The 25,050-nt window shown below is 34.4% G+C and overlaps 1 long non-coding RNA gene across 1 annotated transcript, besides 1 other annotated feature; it reads left to right on the forward strand.

The window, feature by feature from the left end:
* Positions 4,303 to 4,503: a silencer, noted in NCBI's record as "peak6708 fragment used in MPRA reporter construct". NCBI's record gives its function as "represses an SCP1 promoter by STARR-seq MPRAs in K562 erythroleukemia cells {active_cell/tissue: K562}" and the evidence as "EXISTENCE:reporter gene assay evidence [ECO:0000049][PMID:32103011]".
* Positions 16,059 to 23,161, forward strand: LOC102724577 (uncharacterized). The gene is made up of 4 exons (XR_927926.3): positions 16,059 to 16,110; positions 18,875 to 18,988; positions 19,933 to 20,017; positions 22,970 to 23,161. It is a non-coding gene; the product is annotated as an uncharacterized LOC102724577 (long non-coding RNA).
* Positions 23,162 to 25,050: the final 1,889 nt, after the last annotated feature.

Below are 25,050 nucleotides of genomic sequence, written 5' to 3' on the forward strand. Positions count from 1 at the left end.
TGTCTACTGGGGTCTGTGTTTTCAGTTTTCTTTTCTGACTCACTGGCTTTCCCTTTGGTTCCTGATGGTCCATTAGCAGGACACTCTTTTCCTTACCATTCACTGATAGGAATTTTTTTTTACAATAACTTTTTTCTTCACTATTCCCACCTATGAATTTTCCCAGTAGAAAGCTTTATAACTATGTTGTTTCATCTTTCAAAAACACATTGAGATTTTTATTAACCTTAAAATTCAATATGGAAACAATTAGCATACTTCTGTTATTCAGTCTTCCCGTTAAAAATCAAATTTACTCTTTCATAATAACTTTTTGTGGTTTTCTTTATGTGATCTTAAGTATTTCTTGTTATTCTATTTTCTAGCTACTTTATGAACTTTGTTTCTAGTGTGCATGGAATCTTTTTCTTTTCATATTTGAATATTTATGAATTCTCCATATTGAAGTTGTTGATTTTACAGCATCTGTATCCTGTTTTTTACTATTCTTCCCGGTGGAAGGTGCTTTTCTTTTTGTTGTCTTTATTTTTGGTAAGTTTTCTTAAATATTACAGTAAGTATATAAATTAGTTTATTTGTACTATATAAACATAACATATAATATAAAAATATAAATGTATCATGAATATTAGGAGACATTGTTTGATAGTGAGTAATATTGTGCTCTTCTCTTATAATTTTACCTTCTTTCTCACTCTCGGATTATTGCATTGGCAAGAATTTTCTGAACAATTTTGCATTCAAATAGGCCCAGTCTCAAGAAGATGTACGCCAGATTTGAGCTAGGCACGCCAATGTTATTTTTCCCAGATTCACCAGAGAAACTCCTCATCCTTTCCTTAGGTGGAGTGAATGAAAGAGAATCCAAATATTATATTAACTGAATTATCTTCAAATGAGAGAAAATATCAAGAGTGGGTAACAGGCTTTTTCTCAAATATTATAATAATTTTTGATATTATTCTCTTTTCTAATCTATTCATGTTATAGTTATAATATAAAATATTAAAGTGTTCTTTCTTTATTTTGATGGATTTTATTTAATTGTGGTTTATTATTTTAAATCATATGTAAGTATGCTTAATATTTTATATTATTTGTGCATATGTAATTTTTGTATAGCTTTGATATTTTAATTTATAACAACATACTGAAAAAATATTTCTTTCTACTTTTTATGTTCCATTTTTTTATGTTCCAGTTCACCTTTCATATCAATAAACTTGTCTCTTAAAAATGTTAAAGGCTTTGCTTATGTATCCAACTGGGCTTAGTTTTTTTTAGTGAATTTATTGATAACTTTTAACATACTTACATTGTTCTCCATCTATTCAAATTTTAAACTCTTGAACCAGAAAATCAACAATTTAATATTTTCAAAATGAATAGTTTAAAACATGAAAACACTTTATCTGGGTCTCATATTCTCTAAATCTTGTTCTATCCATTGTTTAATTCCTAATTTTGCTCCTTTTTTCTTTGTTAAATTTGATAAATTGCTACTTTATTTTTCAAAGACACTTCTTGTATATACTCATTATTAGTCATTATATGTTTTTAATTAGTTTCTATCTTTATCTTTACTTGATTTACTTATTGTTTTCCTAAGAGATTTTCATTGTTATTGTTGTGCTTCTGGGGTTGAAAGCTTAACTCATTTATTAAATTTACATTGAAGAAAGAAAGTTTTTGACCATGAATTTGACCTAACTATAATTTGGCTACTTATTATACCTTTTGATATTTCATATTCTGTTATTATTTCCTACATAGACTATAATTACAGTTCTAATGTAATTCACCACATTTTTATTTAGCATTTCTTTTCAAACTTTGAAATATTTGTCACCTTTTATGGTTTTCAAAATATCTTTAAATTAATTCTAGTTGCATTGGATTGCTTGAAAGAATCTGGCTGCTATAATGTCACCATTTTGGATTCATCTGGAATTTTTATGCAAAGTAATGTATGAATAATTTTTATAATATTTTGTTAATTCTTACAAAATATTATTTTTTATTGCTTACCATGGCTTAATATAGCTATTACTACTCCTGCTTAATGATAATATACATCTTTATGACTTTATATTTTGGTCTTTTTTGTTAAAGTCTGTTAGAGCTCTAATAAGTTTGTTTAAAAAATACAATATTTTAAACTTATATATTTCTAGCAGTTTTCCTATGTATTTTATGGTAGTATTCAACACACAAGCAATGTATGGCCTATCTTATATTCATAACTTATTTGGTTTATTTTGAAATAGTCTTGAATACAAAAGTTGCAAGTACAACTTGCAAATAATAAATTAAATAAGTTATGAAATAATCAAAATTTGGTTTATTTTGAAACAATCTTGAACACAGAAGTTGCAAGTACAGTACAAATAACTTTTTTCTTCCTGAATCATTTGAGAGTATTTTGTTGATACGATGCCTCATCACTCCCGTATTCTTTAGTGTGTATTTCCTCCCAAAAGGCCATTTGCCCACTATAGCCACAATAAAACCTTCAGAATCATGGAATTAACATTGCTGTATTACTATCACCTAATGTTCAGAACCCATTAAAATTTTATCAGATGTTAAAATAATGTTTTTTAAATAACAAAAGATCAAACTCAGTTTCACATAACACATTTTCTTTTTTATATTTTTAGTTTCTTTGAATATCAAAGAGTTCCTGTCTTTTCTTGACTTCAAGACATCAACATTCAACAAAATTATAGGCCAGTTATTTGGGGCTTTGTCTGATGTTTTCACATAATTATATTCAGGTTTTGTATCTTTGGCAGGAGAATCACAGAAAAGTGCAGTTTTGCTCTTGCTGCGTTCTGTTAGGTGACACATGAATTCAATTTGTTCTATTATCAGTGATTATCTTTGATAATCTCTACATGAAGATGGAGGCAGAGATCAGAGTGATGAAGCTACTGGCAAAGGAATGCCAAGGATTACCGGCAACAACGGAAGCCAGAGAGAGGCAGGGAACGTATTCTCCCTCTGGAACAGAGGTTCCAGAAGGCACTGACCCATTGACAATTTAATTTCAGACTTGTAGCCTCCTGAACTGTAAGAGAAAAAATTTCTGTTGTTTTAAGCCCCCAGATTTGTCATTTTTTGCTATGACAGCCCTAGGAAATAAATACAGAAGGCAAAGAGGTTAGGAAAAGGGCAAAGAGGTTAGGAAAAGGGCAAAGAGGAAGCTGATGTAATTATTGTAACTACCAAATATTTCTGTTGTTTCCATTGTTATTTTTTAAACAGCTTAATTGAAGTATAATTTGCATACAACAAGATTCACTCATTTTCAGTGTGCAGTTCAACGAGTTTTGCAAATGTGTGCAGTCACGTAACCACAACCACAGTCAAATGATACAGCACCATATTGTCCCATGTGCATATTGAAAGTTAATTAAAACTAGTTAAAATTAAAAATTCATTTTCTTATTTTAACTAGTTACATTTCAAATGCTCAATAGCCATTATATGTGACTAGTAGCTCCCAGATAGGACAGAGAAGATTATGGAATATGTCCATCAAAATGTTCTATTGGACAGTGCTGAAACAGAATATTTTCATCAACCCTCGAATGTTCTACTGTTCCGTTTTGCAGTCAATTCCCTACCCTCACCCCTAGCCTCAGGTAATCACTGATCTTCATTCTGTCACTATATTTTGGCCTTTTCTGGAATTACACACAAACAGACTCATACCTCAGGTACTCCTTTATGTCTGGCTTCTTTTGATAAGCATGATATCATGGAGATTCTCCATGTTGTTCTGTATTTAGTAGTCTGTTTCTGTTTTTTGTTGGGTAGTATTCCACTGAATGGATATGTCACAATTTATCTATTCATTAGATTTAAAATATCTGTGCTATTTCCAGGTTTGACTTTTAAGAATAATGCTGATACAAATATTTGCTTGTCAGTTTCCGAGTGGTATATGTTGCATTCATTTTAGATTGCTTTATAACAAATTACCACAAATGTATAAGTTGTAAAAAGCACTCACTTATTATTTCACAAATTCTCTAGGTCAGGAATCCTGGCATGACTTAGCTGGGGGTCCCATGCTACGCTATAATCAAGGTGATGGCCAAAACTGGGTACTCATTACTATGCCCAACTTGGGAAGAATCTGTTTCCAAGCTTACTCAAGGAGTAGCAGTATTTCTTTGCAGTTTTGAAACTGAGGGCCCTGACTTCTTGCTGTTCAATAACAAAAGGCTGCCTTTAGATCCTAAGGAGCTGAACCTGAAGTTCCTTGCTGCATAATATGCTTCTCCAAAATGGCCATTTACTTCATCATGCCAGCAAGGAGAGCCTCTAGCATGAGTAGGGTAGAAATAGGGTGGAGTCTTAGATAATGTTACACAATCACAAGTGATTGACATCCTGTCACCTTTGCCATGTCCCATTGGTTAGAAGCCAGTCATGGGCTCTGCCTTCACTTAAGGAAAGAGTTCTATAAATACGTGAATTCCAGGGGTGAAGTTCATGGAGCAGACATTGTGGATTCTGTCTGCCTCATGTGTTTTCATTTTTCTTGATACCTATAAGTGCAATTACTGGGTCACATGGCAGGTATATGTATAATTTTATAAGAAAGTGCCAAATTGTTTTCCAAGACGGCCATATTATTTTGCATTCTTGTGAACAAGGTTCTATTGCTTTTAATTCATATGTGTTTTTATTTTTTTTTAATTTTTGTTGTTTGAGATGGAATCTGGCTCTTTCAGTCAGGCTGGAGTCCAGTGATGCGATCTCGGCTCACTGCAACCTCCACCTCCTGAGTTCAAGCCATTCTCCTGCCTCAGTCTCCCAAGTAAGTGGGATTATAGACGCGTGCCACCATGCCCAGCTAATTTTTGTATTTTTAGTAGTGACGGGGTTTCGCCATATTGGCCAGGCTGGGTTTGAACTCCTGACCTCAAGTGATCCGCCTGCTTTGGCGCCCCAAATTGCTGGGATTACAGGCATGAGCCACCGCATCTGGCCCTATATGTGTTTTTTAAAGCAATAAATACATTTTGCTAACCCAGAGAATCTTTCTCTTGTCTTAAAAGAGTAATTTACTCTGTTTGAGTCCTTATATTTTTCACAAATAAAAAAATGAAAATCAATTTGGGTAGAGACGTGGAGGCAAAGCCATGTAGGGCTAAGTTCATGAGAGAACACAGGAGACAGAAATGTTAGTAGCAGGAACAGACAACACTCTCTGAGGATTTTGTATAAGAAAGCAGAAAAATGGTGCTGTGGCAGGGGTCACATTTTGTTATGTTCAGTAGACGGGAGATTTTATAACATGTTTGTCCACTGATATGAATAATCCAATAAAGAGAAGATGATGAGGGGCAGATGATCGTGCAGGAGGAAGAGCTCATGCATTGCCACAGGAAGAAATGCAATGTATATCCCTTCAAATGCAGATAGCTTAGCAGAGTTTTGTGGTGGAAAGATGTGTTCACACAGCTAGTGTGTGGCCGAGCCAGGATGCAAATGCAGGCCCTCTAGCTCCTGAGTCCATGCTCCAAACTACTTCACTGTTTTGCCAACTATACATTTCCACAGCTATGCATCTCTTAACTTAAATTGTTAAATAACAGAAACACTGCAATATAACAAATTAATTCTGCCAAAGGCTTTGTTTCCTTTAATAGGAAAAACAGACTTTAAGAACAATAGACTCAATTATTTTACTTTTCAACCTTTTGGGTGAATTCAATTTTATGAACTGTGAAGGTTTTTTTATGTTTTTAAAAAAGCCTCTTGACAATCCTTCCCCTACAAACTTCTACCCTATTCGTCCTCCTCCATCAAAGACATATTTTTTGCAATTGTATTTAACAGTCATGGCCTCACTTTTCATTCACTCATCAGTTCACTGCATTATGGATTTATGGGCTTAGAATCCGCTTCTCCTCTTATACTCATCTCTAAAACATTACTGAGATTTTTAAAAGGTCAGCCCTCTCGGGTTCATCCTTGTTTCACCTCTCTTCAGCTCTTGACTTTGTTGAAAATATGTTCTTTCTGAAGATATCTTTTATCTTAGATTATATCACACAACTTACTCTTGCTTCTGTTTCCACTTTCTTCTTGATAAATTAAAGATTTGTACGTCACGGGCTTTTTGTACTTAGCCCTAGAGATTTAAATGTGACATACACACCAAAACTTCTAACTCCACAACTCCAATGTCAGCATTTCCTCTGGTATAGTCACATAGATCAAACTGCCTAATCTTTTAGCTGGTTTTCATAAGACCTCAAAGTTTGCATGTGAAAATCTAAATCACTATCTCCCATCTTCAACAACAAAAGGTATATAGCCACAGCCTGTACCCAGACCCTTATGACCTCTGGCATTTGTGCAATAATATCCTGTATTCACTGCTTTAACACTTTTCCTATAAAAACAAAAAATGCAAATTTACTACATTGAAAATTTCATTGACAAATTGAGTGATATAACATTGAGTGACATTAAAGTTATTGTGAAAATGTGGTAGGATTTTTACTAATTATGGCTGATTGGATAGAAATGAAATATCCACTCAGTGGTCCATTCATATTTTTTGTCTAGAATAGAGAAAACCTGGCCATAGAAATGTACTTTTTATCATCTCTGGGCCACTGTCTGACTCTTAAATAAGAAAAAGAAAAAAGGACTGTTCGAAATAGAAAACTTGGCAGCCTTTCTTCTATTGCATGATGAAGGTTTCTGTGGGTAGTTAGAGGGCTGTTCATCATCTGTGCATCTCTCTCTCTTTCCAGAAAACGAGTGTGCGAGAAGTATGTTGTAATTGAAGTAGCATACTGCCTGACACCCAAGAGGTTGCTCTGTAAGTGGTGAGTTTTGAGGAAACAAGAGTTTCATGTATTGTATCTTTTGTGGTGTCAAAGCACTAGGAAACGTGTAGAAAATGATCTCAAGTAGTAAATGAAAGCTTTCCAGACATTAGGAATTAAAATAGAAACTATTTACATGTATGCTTTTATATATCTAAAAGAGGGATCCAGAAAGCACCACCTTGGCAGTAAGGAAAATCCAAAGACACAACAGAAAAAGAAAAAGAGCAAAGAAGAATGCTCCCAAACAAAGAAGTTAAAGTATCATCAAACATCAGAGAAAAAGCAATCCCCAGGAAATAATGATCTCAGGGTTCAAAAGAAAGCTTAGAAAAGTTGTTGATTGTTACCAATGAAAAACAATGAAGCTTTTTATTAAATAGTGGCAGAAATTCTCAAGGCTGAGAAAAATGGACAAGAGCATGAGAAATAAAGTTATGCAAGGTAAATAAAGAAGAATAACAATAAAGAAACAATAAATAAGAATGACAAGGAAAATAAAATCATAATGACAGAATTTAAAAATCTGTATCAGAGACATACAAATTAGAATTGACATGGAGAGTAACAGGATGAGATCTGAGGAGCTGTTCTAGAACGCAGAAGAAAAGTTCAAAAGATAAAATTTATGATCTGGCTGGACACAGTGGCTCACGCCTGTAATCCCAACACTTTGGGAGGCCTAGGCAGCGGATAACATGAGGCCAGGAGTTCAAGACCAGCCTGGCCAACATGGTGAAACCCCAACTCCACTGAAAATACAAAACTTACCCAGGCATGGTGGTGCACATCTGTAACCCCAGCTGCTCAGGAGTCTGAGGCATTAGAATCACTTGAACCCAGGAGATAGAGGTTGCAGTGAGCTAACATGTTGCCACTGCACTCCAGCCTTGGTGACAGAGTGAGACTCTCTCTCAAAAAAAAAAAAAAAAAAAGAAAGAGGGAAAACATAAGATATGAGAAAAACGGAAAATGAAAATACAACTTCAGCATTATAGATTGGTTTAAAGTAGACTTTTTGAGCAATAGGGAAAGAACAACAAAATATAATTCAAATACATTTTTCTGAAGTAAAAATATATCAAAAATATTGAGAACATTCGAGACAATCTCATCAAAAGCATCCTGGCACATCTCATATTAAACATTAAATTCTAAGGTTAAATAAAATCAGAATTATCCATCAAACACATCTTTTCCCCAAATACATATCTTAAGTCAGTGGAGATGCATGTAAATACATCTTAATGCTTGTATTTTTAAGTTTGTATCTTAAGAATTTTATATCTACTAAGTTGTCTTTTATGAGTAAAGAAAACAGACACCTTTGATATGTAGACTGTAAAGTATACCACCTACATGCTACTTTTAAAAGATTTTTTAAGACTTGCCTTCAAAATGTGATTCCAGTCACATAACACAAAAATATCTTAAAAAGTGGATACGTCAATTTAAAAAATATTTTGTACTGAGACTATTGCTGGAAAAGTTAACAGCAAAACCATCTAGCTAGCTAGCTAGATGGATAATAAACAAACAAAGAACAATAAGCAGACAGTAATAGGAAATTCTGAAAACTATAAAGCATGAACAAAACGACAGAAGAGACGTTAGATATAATTTTTGTGGCTCTTTTACTCTACCTCCTTACCGCCCTTAAAAGGTCTGTATAAGAAACCCAGAGAGCTTGTGGTGCTTCTGTCAATACACTCTATTTTTTTCCCAATACTACCAGACCCCCATTGCTAACTTGCTGAAAGATCAACCCTGTAAGCTTATAATTTGTATTTATATCCACATTCCCTATAGAAACTACCAGGACTAACAATAATCATACCTTAGATTCCTATTCTCCTTAGCCACCACATGCAACACAAGCTTTCCGGGTTATCCCTGTGTTAGAAAAGTCATAACTGTGAGGGCAAAATGTTGACCTCATAAGCTCCAAGAAGGTTCAATCCTTCCATTGTCATTGTATTTAGTGACTCTTGACCTTATTAGGCCCAATGTCCTGCTCATATAACAAATATTTTGTAGTGCTTTACTCTCCTAAAATAAAACTTATGGACAATATAATGAACATGCATGAATAATTTTTAAAATTGTACAAGAATAATAAAATAGAAAAATATAGAAGCAATTATTTATTACAAAATGATATATGTGTGTATGTTAGTGTTCAGGCATGACAACACAAGAAGAGACAACAAAGCAGTTAGACTCTTATGATATACAAAATTAACAGAATGTGATGGCTACGAAGACAGAGTGAGAGAGTAAACATTTCATTAGTGACTCAAATATAGATTGGTGGTGTGGTTCGTAATGTGGTTTTCCAACACATTGAATAACACCTAATAAAGTTTCAAACAAAATACCAAAAATCTTCCTTCAAGTTGGAAAGAGTTCCTGTTCTTAGAAAATTTACTATTAATTAAAGTCATGTAGAAAATCTTTGCGTTATATGTTAAACAAAGATATATTGTAAGTGGCCAAAATTCTGAGCAGGTTTTACATATATGTTAAAGCTCAGTGGGATATTTTAAGGTTGTGTATAGGTGCTGGTGTGTGATAATCTTTTTATATCTATTTATTTATTTTAAATACTATGATGTGCTATTCATTATTTAGCACCTTTGGCATTCTCCCATTAATTAAGTGTTGCTTCCCTAATCATTGTGACAACCAAAAAACATAAATTTCCACAATACCCCCTAGGAACAAAGTACTACTTTTGCTGAGAAACTTTCATTTAGAATTAGCCTGAGAAGTGTATTAAAACCAGGAAGGGGGGTGGAGGTGGAGCCAAATGGTTAAATAGAAGCTTTCACTGATCGTCTGCCTCTCAAAAACACCAAATTGAGCAACCACACACAAAAACATTTTCACAAGAACAAAACACTGGGTGAGTGATCACAGTACTTGGTTTTCACTGCACATCACTGAAAGCTGCACTGAAGCGGGTAGGAAACACAGTCATGAACTGCTGACACCATACCTCCCCACCCCCAGCAGAGGCTGTGTGGCCTGGAGAGATAATCTGTGCACTTTGGGGAGTGAGACCACAGTGATCATGGGACCTTGCATTGGGACTTAGTGTTGCTTCTCTGTCATAACAGCAAGATACACTGGGCAGAACTCAGATGGTAGCCAGAAGGGAGCATTCAGACCATCCCTAGCCAGATGGGAATTGCCCATCCCAGCAGTCAGAACCTAAGTTCCAGGAAGCCTCAGCACCACAGGTCAAACAGCTCTGGAGTTCTAAATAAGCTTAAAAGGCAGTATAAGCCACAAAGACTGCAATTCCTGGGCAAATCCTGGTGCTGTGCTGAGCTCAGAGCCAATGGACTTGGAGGAACACACGACCTAATGAGACACCAGCTGCGACAGCCACTCCTTCCCCAGCCACAGGCAGCACAGCCATGGCACTGAGAGACACTTCTCTCCACCTGGGAAGAGGAGAGAGGAGGGTAAAGAGGACTTTGTCTTGCAACTGGGATACCAGCTCAGCCATAGTAGAATAGGGTACTAGACAGAGTCCAGAGGTCCAACTCCTTTACAACATTTCTAGATACACCATGGGCCAGAAGGGCACCCACTGTCTTGAAAGGATGGACCTAATTTCGGCAGGATTCATTATCTGCTGACTAATGAACCCTTGGGTCCTTAATAATCAGTGTGGGTACCTAGGCAGTTCTTGCTGTGGGTCTTGGGTGAGACTCATAAACATACTGGCTTCAAGTGTGATGAAGCATATTCCCAACTGTGGTGGCTTCCACCCAACTGTGGTGGCTGTAAGATGGACTCCTTTTGCTTGAGAAAAGGAGAAGGAAGCATAAAGATGACTTTATCTTGCAGCTTAGGTACCAGTTCAGACACAGTGGAGTAGAGCACAAAGTAGGCTCTTGGGGTCACAAATTCAAGGCCATCGTTCTTAGATGTCATTGCTGGACCTGCCCTGGGCCAGAGTGAAGTCCATTTCCCTGAAGTAACAGTCCCAAGCCTGGCAGCATTCACCAGAAGCTAACTAAAGAGCCCTTGGACCTTGAATAAGCATCAGCAGCATCCAGGCAGTATTTGCCATGGGCCTGAGGTAGTGGTGCTTATAAGGGAAGACGCCTCTGCTTGTGGAAAGTGGAGGAAGGGAACCGGGGGAAAGCACTTTATCTTGTCACTTGAGTGCCAGCTAGGCCACAGTAGAATAGAGCACAAAGTAGATTCCTAAGTTTTCTTCCTCCAAGCTCTGGCTCCTGGACTGCATCTCTGGATGAACCTGGGATTGAAGGGAACTTGAAGCCTGCAGGGAAGGACACAAGGCTGGCTGGCTTCACCACCTGCTGATTGTAGAGCCCCAGAGCCTTGAGTGAACATAGAGGGTAGCCAGGTAGTGGTTACAACAGGGCATGGGGGACATCCAGTGCTGTGCTGGCTTCAGGTTTGACACAGTGTAGTCATAGTGGTAGTGGCCACAAGGGAGCTTGTGTCACCCCTTCCCCACCTTCAGGCAGCTCAACACAGGGACAGAGACTCCATTTGGGGGTGAAAGTAAGGGAAGAGAACAAGAGTCTCTGACTGGTAATCCAGATAGTTCTTCCATATCTTATCTAAGACCACCATGGGCAATACTTCTATGAGTCTGCAAGAGCCACAGTGTAACTGGACTTGGGGTGTCCACTAGTGTGGATATGGCTGCAGTGACCAAAAACTTAGATCACAACACTCAAGTCCTTCAAATACCGGGAAATTCTTCCTGATAAAGATGTGTACAAACAAGCCCAGTGTGCAAAGACTACAATAAATACTTAACTTCTCAATGCCCAGCCACCAATGAACATTTGCAAACATCAAGACCATCCAGGAAAACAAGACCTGACCAAAAAAACTGAATAAAACACCAGTGACTAGTCCAGGAGAGACAGAGATATGTGACTGTTCAGACAAAAAATTCAAAATAGCTATTTTGAGGAAACTTATTCAAATTCAAGATAACACAGTTAGAAAGAAATCAGAATCCTATTGGAAAAGTTTAACAAGAGATTGAAATAATTGAAAAAAATCAAACAGAAATTATGGAGTTGAAAAGTGCAACTGACTTAATAAAGAATAATACATCAGAGTCTCAACATCAGAACTGATGAAGCAGAGGAAAGAATCAGTGAGCCTGAAGACAGGATATTTGAAAATATATAGTCAGAGGAGACAAAATAAAAAAATAATAAAGGATGCCTATAAGATATAGAAAACAGCCTCAAAAGGACAAATCTAAAAGGTATTTGCCTTAAAGAGGAGATAGAGAGACAGATGGGAGAGAAAGTTTATTCAAAGAGATAATAACAGAGAAATGTACAAACCTAAAGAAGGATATTAATATTTAAGTACAAGAAGGTTATAGAACACCAAGTGGATTTAATCCAGATAAGACTACCTCAAGACATTAAATGATCTCTCAAAATTCAAGGACAAAGAAAGAATCCTAAAAGCAGCAAGAGAAAATAAATAAATTACACCAAATGGAGCTCCAATATGTCTGACGGTAGACTTCTCAGCAGTAACCTTACAGGTCAGGAGAGAATGGCATGACATATTTAAAGTGCTGAAGGAAAAAAAAAGAAAAACGTTTACCCTAGAATAGCATATCCAGCAAAAATATCCTTCAAACATAAAGAAAAAAATAAATATTTTTCTAGACAAACAAAAGCTGACGGATTTTATCAACACCAGAACTGTCCTACAAGAAATGCTAAAGGGACCACTTCAATCTGAAAGCAAAGGATGTTAATAAGCGGCTAGAACTCATCAGAAAGTACAGTACTCACTGGTAAGAGCAAGTACACAGAAAAACACAGAATATGATAACACCATAATTGTGGTTTGTGAACTACTCATATATTTTGAGTAGGAAGACTGAAAGGTGAACTGATAAAAATAATGACTACAACAAATTTTTGAGATATAGAGAGTATAATAAAGTATAAATAGAAAAAAGTTAAAAAGCAGGGGAACGATTTTAAAACATAAAATTTTTATTAGTTTTCTCTTTGTTTGTTTGTTTATGCAATCAATGCTAAATTATCATCAGCTTAAAATAATGGGTTATAAGATATTGTTTGCAAGCCTCATGGCAATCTGAAATCAAAATAACTTATGACAGATACAGAGAAAATAAAAAGCAAGAAATGAAAACATACCACAAGAGAAAATCACCTTCTCTGAAAGGAAGATAGGAAGGAAGAAAAGAAAGAAGACAACAAAGCAACCAGAAAACAAATTACAAAATGGTAGGAGTAAGTCCTTACGTATCAGCAATAACATTGAATGTAAATGAACTGAACACTCCAGTGAAAAGACAGAGTGACTGAATTGCTAAAATTACAAGACCCAGTGATCTGTTGCCTGCAAGAAAAACACTTCACCTATGAAGACAGACATAGATGCAGGAATAGCTATATTTATATCAGCCAAAATAGATTTCAAAATGAAAACTATAAAAAGAGACAAAGATGGCCATTATGTAATGATAAAGGGGTCAATTCAGCAAGAGGATATGACAACTGTAAATATATATGCACCCCACACTAAAGCCCCTAGATACATAAGCAAATATTACTAGGACTAAAGAGACAGACTCCAATAATAGCTGGAGATTTCAACACTCCACTTTCAGCATTGGGCAGATCATCCAGACAGAAAATCAACCAAAAAAAATTGGACTTAATCTGGCCCATAGACTAAATGGACCTAACAGATATTTACAGAACATTTCATTCAACAGCTGCAGAATGCACATTCTTCTCCTAAGCACATAGATCGTTCTCAATAATAGACCATATATTATGCCACAAAACATGTCTGAAAAAGCTCAAAATAAATTATATTAAATATGTTCTCTAACTACAGTAAAATAAAAGTAGAAATCAATAACAAGAGGAATTTTGGAAATGATACAAACACATGGAAATTATAAATATGCTCCTGAATGACTGATGAGTCAATGAAGAGAAAAAGGGAGAAATTAAAAAATTTTGTGGAACAAAACAATGGACAGAACATACCACAACCAATGTAATACAGCAGAAGCAGTTATTAATAGGAAAAATTATAGGTATAAGAACCTACATTTAAAAAGTAGAAAAAGTTGTACTAAAAATAAACAACCTAATGATGCATCTTAAAGAACTAGAAAAGCAAGAGCAAATAAATCAACCCAAAGTTAGTAGAAAAAAAGAAATAATAAAGATCAGAGTAGAAATAAATAAAATTGAAATGAAGAGAACAATACAAAAGATTAATGACATGAAAAGTTTGTTTTCTGAAAACATCAACAAAATTGACATTTAGCCAGACTTAACTAAGAAAAAAAAAAAGAAGACCCAAGTAAATGAAACGAGAGATGAAAAAAGAGACATTACAACAAATACTGCAGAAATCCAAAGGATCATTAGAGGCTACTATGAACAACTACATGCCAAGAAATTGGAAAATCTAGAGGAAATGGATAAATTCTCAGACATATACAACCTACAAACATTGAACCATGAATAATTTCAAAACTTGAATAGACCAATAGCAAGTAATGAGATCAAATAAAAAGTCTTCCAGCAAAGAAAAGCTCAGGACCTGATGGCTTCACTGCTGAATTTCATCAAAAATTTAAAAAACTAATATCGATCCTACTGAAACTGTTCTGAAAAACAGGGAAGGAAGGAATACTTCCAAACTCATTCTATGAGGCCAGTATTACCCAGATACTAAAATGAGACAGACACATCAAAAATACAAAAAAAAAGGCCACTATATTTGATGAACATTGATGCAAAAATACTCAGAAAAATACTAGCAAACCAAATTCAACAATAAAAAGATCATTCATCATAACCAAGTGGGATTTGCTCCTGAAATGCAAGCATGATTCAACATACACAAATAGTGAAGGTGATACATCATTATCCACAGAATGAAGGCAACAAAATGCTTGAAAAAGTATTTTTATTGTGAAGGGATGTTGATGAAATTCAACATCCTCTTCTTGTGCCAGCTTTTAAGGGGAATGCTTCCAGCTTTTGCCCATTCAGCATGGTACTGGTACAAGAACAGACACATAGAACAATGGAATAGAATAAAGGACCCAGAAATGAGGCCACACACCTACAACCATCTGATCTTCAACAAACCTGACAAAAACAAGCAATGAGGAAATGATTCCTTATTCAATAAATGGTGCTGTGATAACTGGCTAGTCATATGCAGAAGATTGAAAGTGGACCGCTTCCTTACACTATATACAAAAATCAACTCAAGATGGATTAAAGACTTAAATGTAAAACCCAAAACTGTAAAGACCCTGGAAGACAACCTAGGCAATACCATTCAGGACATAGGCACAAGCAAAGATTTCATGACAAAGATGCCAAAAGAAATTGCAGTAGTAGAAATATTTGCCCACTCCAGTGTCCTGGAGAATTTTCTCAATGTTTTCTTGTAGTAATTTTATAGTTTGAGGTCTTAGATTTAGGTCTTTAATCCATTTTGATTTGATTTTTGTGTATGGTGAGAGATCGTGGTCTAGTCTCATTCTTCTGCATATAAATATCCAGCTTTCCCAGCATCATTTATTGAACAGACTATCTTTTAGCTAATGATGTTCTTGACATCTTAGTTGAGAAGACTACTATAAGGTCTAACTTTGGCTTTACTTGCAAACATATATAAACATATTGATACTAATAGAAGCAGTTTGAGATGTTTCCAGAAAAAAAATTTAACCGCCAAGTTTAGTATGTTTAAACCTAGTTTTCAAAATTGGTTCTGTTCTTTCAAGAAGTACTTCTATGTTAGAAATAATTATCCTTAAATTCTAGAAAAGCTGATCATCAAAATTGTGTCGCTGTTAAGATAGAATTTATTCTAACATTTCTAGCAGAAAGAAAAATTAACTCATTTTTAGATGCAATGCCTTTGTTTTATAATACTAAATAATTATGATATGCTTTGACTGCGTCTCACCCAAATCTCAACTATAGTTGTATCTCCCAGAATTCCCACATGTTGTGGGAGGGACCCGGGGGAGGTAATTGAATCATGGGGGCCAGTCTTTCCTGTGCTATTCTCGTTATAGTGAATAAGTCTTACGAGATCTGATCGGTTTATCAGGGGTTTCTGCTTTTGCTTCTTCCTCATTTTCCCTTGCTGTCGCCATGTAAGAATTGCCTTTCACCTCCTGCCATGATTCTGAGGCCCCCAGCCATGTGGAACTGTAAGTCCAATTAAACTTTTTGTTCCCAGTTTCAGGTATGTTTTTATCAGCAGCGTGAAAACAAACTGATACAAATTATTAATAAGCATGTGTGTTTTAAATAGTAAATAATAAAAAATAATTCTTTAGTGATTTAGTAGATTTTCTAATTAAGAACAATTTAAAAACACATTAGTATATGTAAAGTAACATGGAATGTAAATGCTGAATTAAGTGAGACATCAGAATGGGGCAAAATTAATTGGGAAGGCATTTTTATGTGGCGATTTAAAAATTATGTTGAAAACTATAGAATGCCAGAAAAGATAGGATTGTATTTGACGAAGAGCTCATGGAACATGAAAAGACATAAGGTAGAAAAGAGTTAATGAGGTTATCCAAGTTAGAAAGTGAAGCAATGTTTCAATTACTAAGGTCTAAAGAGTAGGTAGAATTCAATTATTTCTCCTTTGTATAAAGTTGATTTTTCCTTTACTTTGATGTTTTTCATTTATTTTAATAAGACATACTAAAAAAGCAGGGTCTTGATCATACTAACTAGACCTTTTGAGTGATTTAACTGCTTAACTGTGGGCATTGCTTCCATTCTTGACTTTTTCACTCTAGTTTCCTATTTTATAGAAATATTTGAACATAGGATTTTTAGCAAGTATTATCTGATTATTAAATGACAAATTCAGAACATTATTCTATACCACAGCAAAAAGCTATGTTTCCTCCCAGAAACACCAATGATTCAATTTGTCGTCTTGGACAACTTACAAACACCTAAACAGCTCACCTGCTGAAATTCTTACCTTGGACTTTGTGTAGTCAACATTTGTGTTTCCATTAATTTACATTTTTTATGTCCAATTATTCACTCTCCATACTTATTCAAATTCCCAAGCAACATAGATGTTTGGTTACACTCAATACATATATATGTATTTATGTTATGTATATGTGTATACATGTATATGTATTTACGTACATGCATGAGTGTATACATGTGTAAGATACATGTCATGCGCACATATACACATACTATATACACATGTATGAGTGTATACATGTGTATGATACATGCCATGCACACATATACACATACTATATACATGTGTACACATGTATATATATAGTGAATATGATTTAAATTTAGTAAGAAAAATAACTACATCTATACATTAGTTTAATAGAGCATCTACTACTGGAATTGTAAAATTTCTTTTAAAATATTTCAGTTGATTGCTAGTTTTTAATAATATAAACTGAAGGAATATAAAGGAAGGGGCCACATCAAAACACCACTTATGCGTCATTTCAAATCAGTTATATCACTCAAGTTTTCTAAAATTATAAGTAAAATTAAAAAGAGTGGAAAATACATCAGATGTAAAAGAATGTTTTCAGTTCAAGGACAAAATTAATTATCTAAATTATCCCAGCAGGTTTGGTGGTCTTCTTTGTATGAGCCACCTGCTTTTCCCTTTCTTGTCGCCCTGGCTTTTTACAATCGTGCCCGTAACCCTGTCATTGACCATGTTATCGTTTAAGAGCTTTGTGATTTTAGAAGGATGTGTGTGGGTCATGTTTAAGCCATTGTCAGTTGCTATTATAATTACAGTGATTGTTATCTAGTGAAAGCTTTGCTGGCAGAATTCCACCAGAAGGCTAAAACTTGCATCCAAGTTTTCATTAAGCTATTGGGGTTTGTCATTCTATTTAAAATGAGATTTAATTCTGTTTTTATTAAAGTGTAAGCATTATTGAATTCCATAACTATCAAAAAGGGCTTTCAAATTTATTTAAAAATCAGTTAACTAATTAAAGACCGTCACAAACCAGGACATTAAATCACATATGATGCATATTTGTGATATCAGTTCTTAAAACAGGTATATACATAAAATACAGTATTATTTTTCTGAACCAAATTTTTTTATGAAACAGAAAATTTCTGAAACCATAGACTATTTGGTTTAAAAAAAATCATGTTATATAACCCAGCAATTGAACTCCTTTGTATTTACCCAAAGGAGTTGAAAACTTACATCCACACAGAGGGATCCACTGCACAGGGAGGTTTATAGCCTTGGGAAGCAGTGGTTGCCAGGGTATGGGAGGAGGAAGCGATAAATAGATGAAACACAGTGGAGTTCCAGGGCAAGGAAACTGTTTTATAAGATACTGTATTGCTGGATACATGTCATTATACATTTGCCCAAACCCATGAACGGTACAAGATCAATAGTCAGCCCTATGTAAACTATGGACTTCAGGTGATTATGAAATATCAGTGTAGGTTTGTTGATTGTAACAAATATACCACTCTTTTTTTTTTTTTTTTTTGAGATGGAGTCTCCTACATACCACTCTTAATGGGGGTTGTTGTTAAGAGGGGAGGCTGCGCATATGTGGGGTAGGCAATATGTGGGAAATCTCTATGTCTTCCTCTTAATTTTGCTGTGAACCTAAAACTTCTCTTAAAACTAATGTCTTTTAATAAAAAAACATGTTTTACTTTGTGATCAGTAAAAATTATGCCCAAGATTATACTTAGATACATAACTAGTTACAAATCATTACAATAATTCCCCTGAGAAAGTTTACTTTTGTTCACTATTGTTTACATACAAGAAAAAGTTAATGGTTTTATAAGGAAGATATTTAGTAATCAGAATTGAATATGTGTATACTACATTTGATCAGAAAATACCTAAAATTATTACCTGGGAATATTGGTTAATTCATTCTATTGTGTATGCACCCATGTGTGATGAAGGGAGAAGGGAGATGAAATAATACCAGCATCCTGAACCTGAATGTCCAGCTTCGCCTTGTTCTTTGTGGATTATAAGACCATTGATTAAATAAATCCTTTCATCAAAATTATCTTGTAAGTAGAAGTTCAACAAATAACTTGCTTCACATGTGAAGACACAAAAGTACACAAATCAAAACCAAAAAACCTAAGGCTACCTGATGGCAAGATAACACTTGGAGAGCTAGAAACGCGAGGTTTTTATTTTTCTGTATCTAGCGTTTATATCGACTTCCAAAATTGGTTGTTTGTATCCTAGTCTGTAAAATGGTGCGGATATAAATTAAACTTAGGAGAGTGTTGTGATGTTTTCACCAGTAAACACTTAGGTCCAAGAATGAAGGAGAACTAATACATATTCACTGTCTAATATATACCAACACTAAGCATATATGTGATGATATTTAATGTCCTTGGCCACTCCTCAGACTTCCTGGATGTGTCTCCTCTCACAAGTGGAATTTATAAATAGCAAGGGATGGTTGATTTTTAACCCCAGTTCAAGAAAGCTAAGTTAAATGCTCTGTAAGGACTCTAAACGTGAGTCATTAATAAAACAATTGCTGATATATTAGAAGAGTACAAACTAGGATCACCTAGTCAAGAGTGAATTATTTTTATAAGCAATGATGTTTAGGTTTTACAAAATTACAAACAATTTATTTCATAGTCTATCCTTGTTATAAAATGAACAAAACATAATCTTTAATTATTAAACAAATTTAGAGATCAAATAGATAAGCTTTACATTTAGCAACTGCACCAACTGGCAGACATTTGGGCTACACTGACAATATGTGAAATATGTGCTCAAGTGTATATTTAATAAAACACAAGGATTTTATGGTATAATGCATTGTGTTAATGCATTTGGTTGGTTCCAGTGTGAACTACATATACTGTATTCATTTCAACAGTAAACTTCCTAAATAAAACACACAAACATTTAAGCAACATATAGCATTATGACGTTACCCTTAAAATAATCTCTAATACAGTATTTTAAATCCATATTCCAGAAAAAAGAAACTACCATCTAAATCCAGTTATTCCATCTGACTTGGTAGCAGTGATGTTTGGAGTTTAGGACCTAAAGGTGAAATGGTAGGTAAGGAATGTCCTTTCAGAATTTTAGGGTTCTCTTTAAAATAAGGATCGATAAACCAGTATTAACCGATGCATTTATGGGTTATTAGTAACTTTGCTTTTAGTTTTTTCTACTTCAGTGAGTCTGAAATATTGCCAGTGTTAAAGAATATGATGGTTCTTGCTCAATAGTGAAGAAGATATGAAGGAAAATCAGACGGACATTTTTTTTTTTTCTGGTTGATGTCATTAGGTTGAATTTAAATTGCATATGATGTTGAGAAACCACACACTTAATTTTTTTGAAAATTGTAGGGTGCAATGACTGTCTTCTACTTGAATGGAAATGATTATAAATATGTTTTAAAATTTGACAAGTGCTAGTGAATATAAAATATTATTGCTATATTATTTTTCATTAAGTTGTGGTCTTAAAGACACTTCTAAACGATACATTTTTTTGTGAAGAGATTTAATTATCTTTTAAATTGTTCTTTTTAAAGTATTTATTAAAAACATCAACATTATTTTTTAAATTCTTAAGTATAATGTTATGGAAAAATACTGTATGAAATATTCTAAAACACAAATTCTTTATCTTTTCATTTATTAAAAAATAATTTGTTTCTATTTCCTTTTTCCAGAGTCAGTTTGGCCCGATCTGTACATATTTTGCAGTTAGAAAAAGTATTTGATATGTATTTGATAAACTGATTAAATGCTAAATGGTTTTGAGATGATTCTTATACTGGAATCTATATCTTTTAAATACACACTAAGTAGACTGACAAATAGAACAAAATTGCTAGAAGAATCAAGTTCATTCTCTGCTTCTTGCAATGTAACTAATTAAATATGAAGGAGAGACAAAATGCTAGTACAACGAATCAAAGAAACAGAGAGAGAGAGAATCAGTTCATTTTTCAATATGTCATTGTTTCTTAGACAAGAACAATGAATCACTGAGCACAAATGGCTTAATCTCCAGGCACAGCCTCTAGTGTTGCTCCAGATTCAAACTAACATTTGATGACAATATAAGACATTCATCTCTTGTGAATCTATTGTTTAGTGTGGGTTTTAATTTGTTGCAATAGTTATAAGCCACAACAAATGCAGGTTTTCAGAGAATCAGAAATGGAGTAAGAATGGAACACTGTATGTTCTAGATCACAGGCCATTTATGTATGTATGTATCCCTACTATAATGTTGATGATGCTTACATAATTTCTTTATATGTAGAAAAGATACTTCAAATTTCAGATAGATGATCACACCAACAAATGGCAAATGTTGTATTTCTGTCAAAACATTAAATTTGGCATGCTTGGTGTTTCTTCAACATGGAATGACCATCAAGTTAAATGGCTGGAAAACTTAAGCTGAGAATGGTGTTGTTTACATTTCTTCACAGAAGAAGCAAGATAAATACCATATTATGTGCGCATGTGTATATGTAAATCACAGTGCACAGAAAAAGAGAGATGTCTTTCACTGATATTAAAACTAGGTGAAGATAAGCCAAAATAATTTTTCAATTAAGCTGTTTCTTAAATGCTTAACAATTATCTTTTCTAACTATAAACCATGTCATTGAATACAAGATTCACCAGCTATATTTTGGACAAAGGATGTCAAAAATGTTTTTATTCTTATGGTCAGCATCTGTCCATACCAAGAAAATGACAGACATACAGTAAACACTCAACATGTTTGCTGAATGGAGAGCTATGAAGCTTTGAGGAAACTGCATGACCTGATATTTCAAGGAATATCTTTTGGCTACAGATATTCTGATAAATATACAATTTTAGATGTTGGGAGATAAAGTACAGATCTGTAAGGTGGTCAAAATAATGTTTGCCTTTTCCCCTTTCTTACTTTTGTAGATATATGTACATATATACATATGTACTCACACAGACACATACACACACACACATATGTATGTGTGTTGCCTGGAAAGCAAGTGTGTAGAAATCGTGGGATTAGGATTAGGATTATGGGGATCTAACTGCGTCCATGTCATTCTTGGAGAAACAGTTCTAAGAACAAATGCTGAAGGCAAACAAATGATGCATTCTCAAATGAAAGAGGTCTGAACTGAGATTGTGCCCATCAATTCCTGAGAAGAGAATTTTAACAAAACGCAGCTGAAAGAGATGCAAGCTAAAGCCAGGCCACAAATTTTATTTACTTAAAAATATCAGGGAGCATCCATTTTTCCTCTTTCAACATGACATGTAAGACAAAGCATACTGTTGAAAAGAAAAATAAAATGATGTTTTAATAACTCAAAGAAGGAACACGTACATGAAAGTGGTTTCTCACTGGAATCTGCAATAGTAACAAAGGAGACAGTGAGCATCAAACATCTGGGTTGTGGGCTCCCATACACTTCCATGAGATTATCCAGAAAACCATGAATTCTTGGGTGAGTGGGCAATTTTCCTGATAAGAGTGGATGGCTACAAGAAAGGCATCACCCCAACACTGGCCAGACTTTCACCTATAATCTTGGGTTAGTTGTCTCATTGAGTAGAACAGAAAAATAGCATCAATATGAATTATTTTTTAAGGAGGTAACTTTAGGATTTTTCTTCTGAGCAACACACAAGCAAAAAAGAAAAAAAAAAGAAAAAAGAGAAAAACCACTGACCATAAATGGCTTAATCTCCAGGCCCAGCCTCCAGTGTTGCTCCAGATTCAAACTGACATTTGATGACAATATAAGACATTCATCTTTTGTGAATCTATTGTGAGAAATAGGGAATCTATTTCTCTATGGTTTTTTAGTAGTGTGGGCCAAACTGTGTCTCTTCTCCCCAAAGTTAACGTGCTGAAACACTAACCTTCAGTACTTCAGAATGTGATATTACTGGGAACAGGGCCTTTAAAGAGGCAATTAAGTGAAAATGAGGCAATGAAGGTGGGCCCTAATTTAATTTTAATGGTGTTCTCATATACAGGGGAAAATCTGGGTGCTCGGAAAGACACCAGAAGCACACAGAAGAAGATCATATGAAGACACAACAAGAAGGTGACTAGCTGCAAGCCAAGAAGAGAAGCCTCAGAAGAAATCAAACGTACTAGCACCTTGATCTTGGAATTCCAGTCTCCAAAGCTGCGAGAAAATAAAATTCTGTTGCTTAAGCTGCCAAGACTATGGTATTTTCTTATGGCAATCTTAGCAAAATAACCCTATTAGCAAACAAATGCATACAAAATCTCTGTAAATACAGCAGGTTTCCTTTTTAAAAAAACTCTTTATTTTGAAAAATTATAGTTCTACAACAAATAATAAAAAAGATATACAGGATGGTCCTATTTACTCTTGACTCAGTTTCCCTTATAGTAACATCTTATATAACTACTAGGAAAATGATGTTGATACATTCCACATATCTTGTTAAAATTTAACCAGTTTTACATGTATTAGTTTGTTCTATGCAATTTTCTTGCATGTGTAGACCCATGTTACCACTACCATAGAGAAAATCCAGAATCATTCCATCACCAGAGGCTCCTTCATGCTGTCTCTTTATACTCATTCTTACCTCTTTCTCTAGCTCATCCCTAACCCCTCACAACCATTAATCTGTTCTCCATCTCTACAACCCTGTTATTTCAAGAATGCCATATAATGAGAATCAAAATTAAGTGAACTTTTGGGACTATTTTCACTCAGAATAATTCTCTTGAAATTCAGCCAAGTTATTGTGTGCAACAATAACTCATTCCTTCTTATTGCGGAGTAGTAGTCCATGATATGGATGCACTACAGGTTCCTTAACCACTTACTAGGATATTACAGTTGTTTACAGTTTGAAGCTATTATGACTAAAGCTGACGCTCACATTTATATATAAGTTTTTATACAGAAATATGTCTCCATTTCTCTGGAAAAAAAATCCCAAGGGTACAATTGCCGAGTCAAATGTTAAGTGAATGTTTACTTTAAAAGTGTTATATTGTTTTTTAGAGTGGGTGTACCATTTTACATTACCATCAGCAATGTATAAGAGGTCCTGTTTCTCAGTATCAGGCAATAGATAATGTATGTGCCATGTATACGTTTCCAGAACATGAAAGTATAGGAATCTTCTTTTATTTTATTATGTTAGCATACCCTTCACACTCAAACCTAGCTGTGTGCTGAAAAGGTGATTCTCTGGAATTTAAGGAACTTAAAACCCCTGATTTATAGCAACTGCATATTTTCCAGTTGTGGCTATTTCCCACCGTGGTTTTCAAACTACCCACATGACTTAATTGAAAGTGAATTAAGGAAAAAAATACTCACAAGTAGTTCTCACACAGTTCTCACTGGCACAAGCCAGTTCCAGCACACTGCTGCACATACACAAACATATGCACACATGCATACACACATATATACACACATGCATATTCACAGACACATAAAAACACAGATGCATAGAGACACCAGATTTATCTCCTTCATTCGTACAGATGGACCATTAAATAAGATGACAAGATGAATTTAATAGCATGACATAATCAAATATAGAGACAGATATAAAATACATAGAGTATGAAACTATGAAACAATTTTGGAAATAAAAGTGTATATTAATGTGCAAATATATGTATAGAATATGAGACTGAAAACACCAAAATGTTGATACTGTTTATTTCTGGGTAGTTGGATGACAAGTGAATTTAGTTTTTCTGATTGTGCTTTTCTTTATCTTTAAGGAACATGTTTTCTTTTAATCAGAAAGAAATAATTACATATATATGTAATTAACATATATTGTATAATATATATCACATATATTCCACATATATGGAATATATATTGTGTTTTAAAGTTTAAAATGTGAGGAGACCACGTCAATGAGGAACTTGGAACCAAGTAAAACATGGATGGATATGTGACAATATTGTGGAATAGAGTGAAAATTCAGCTCAGAAATAGTGAAGCTTATTTTAAATGGAAACTAAAATAAGATCATGTGGATTAAATTAGAGATATTTCCAGGAGAAGATATGTTTGAGCATAACTTTCCTCTCCTCCCTATCTGAG

Source organism: Homo sapiens, chromosome 7, assembly GCF_000001405.40.
Source record: "Homo sapiens chromosome 7, GRCh38.p14 Primary Assembly".
Taxonomy (NCBI): domain Eukaryota; kingdom Metazoa; phylum Chordata; class Mammalia; order Primates; family Hominidae; genus Homo; species Homo sapiens.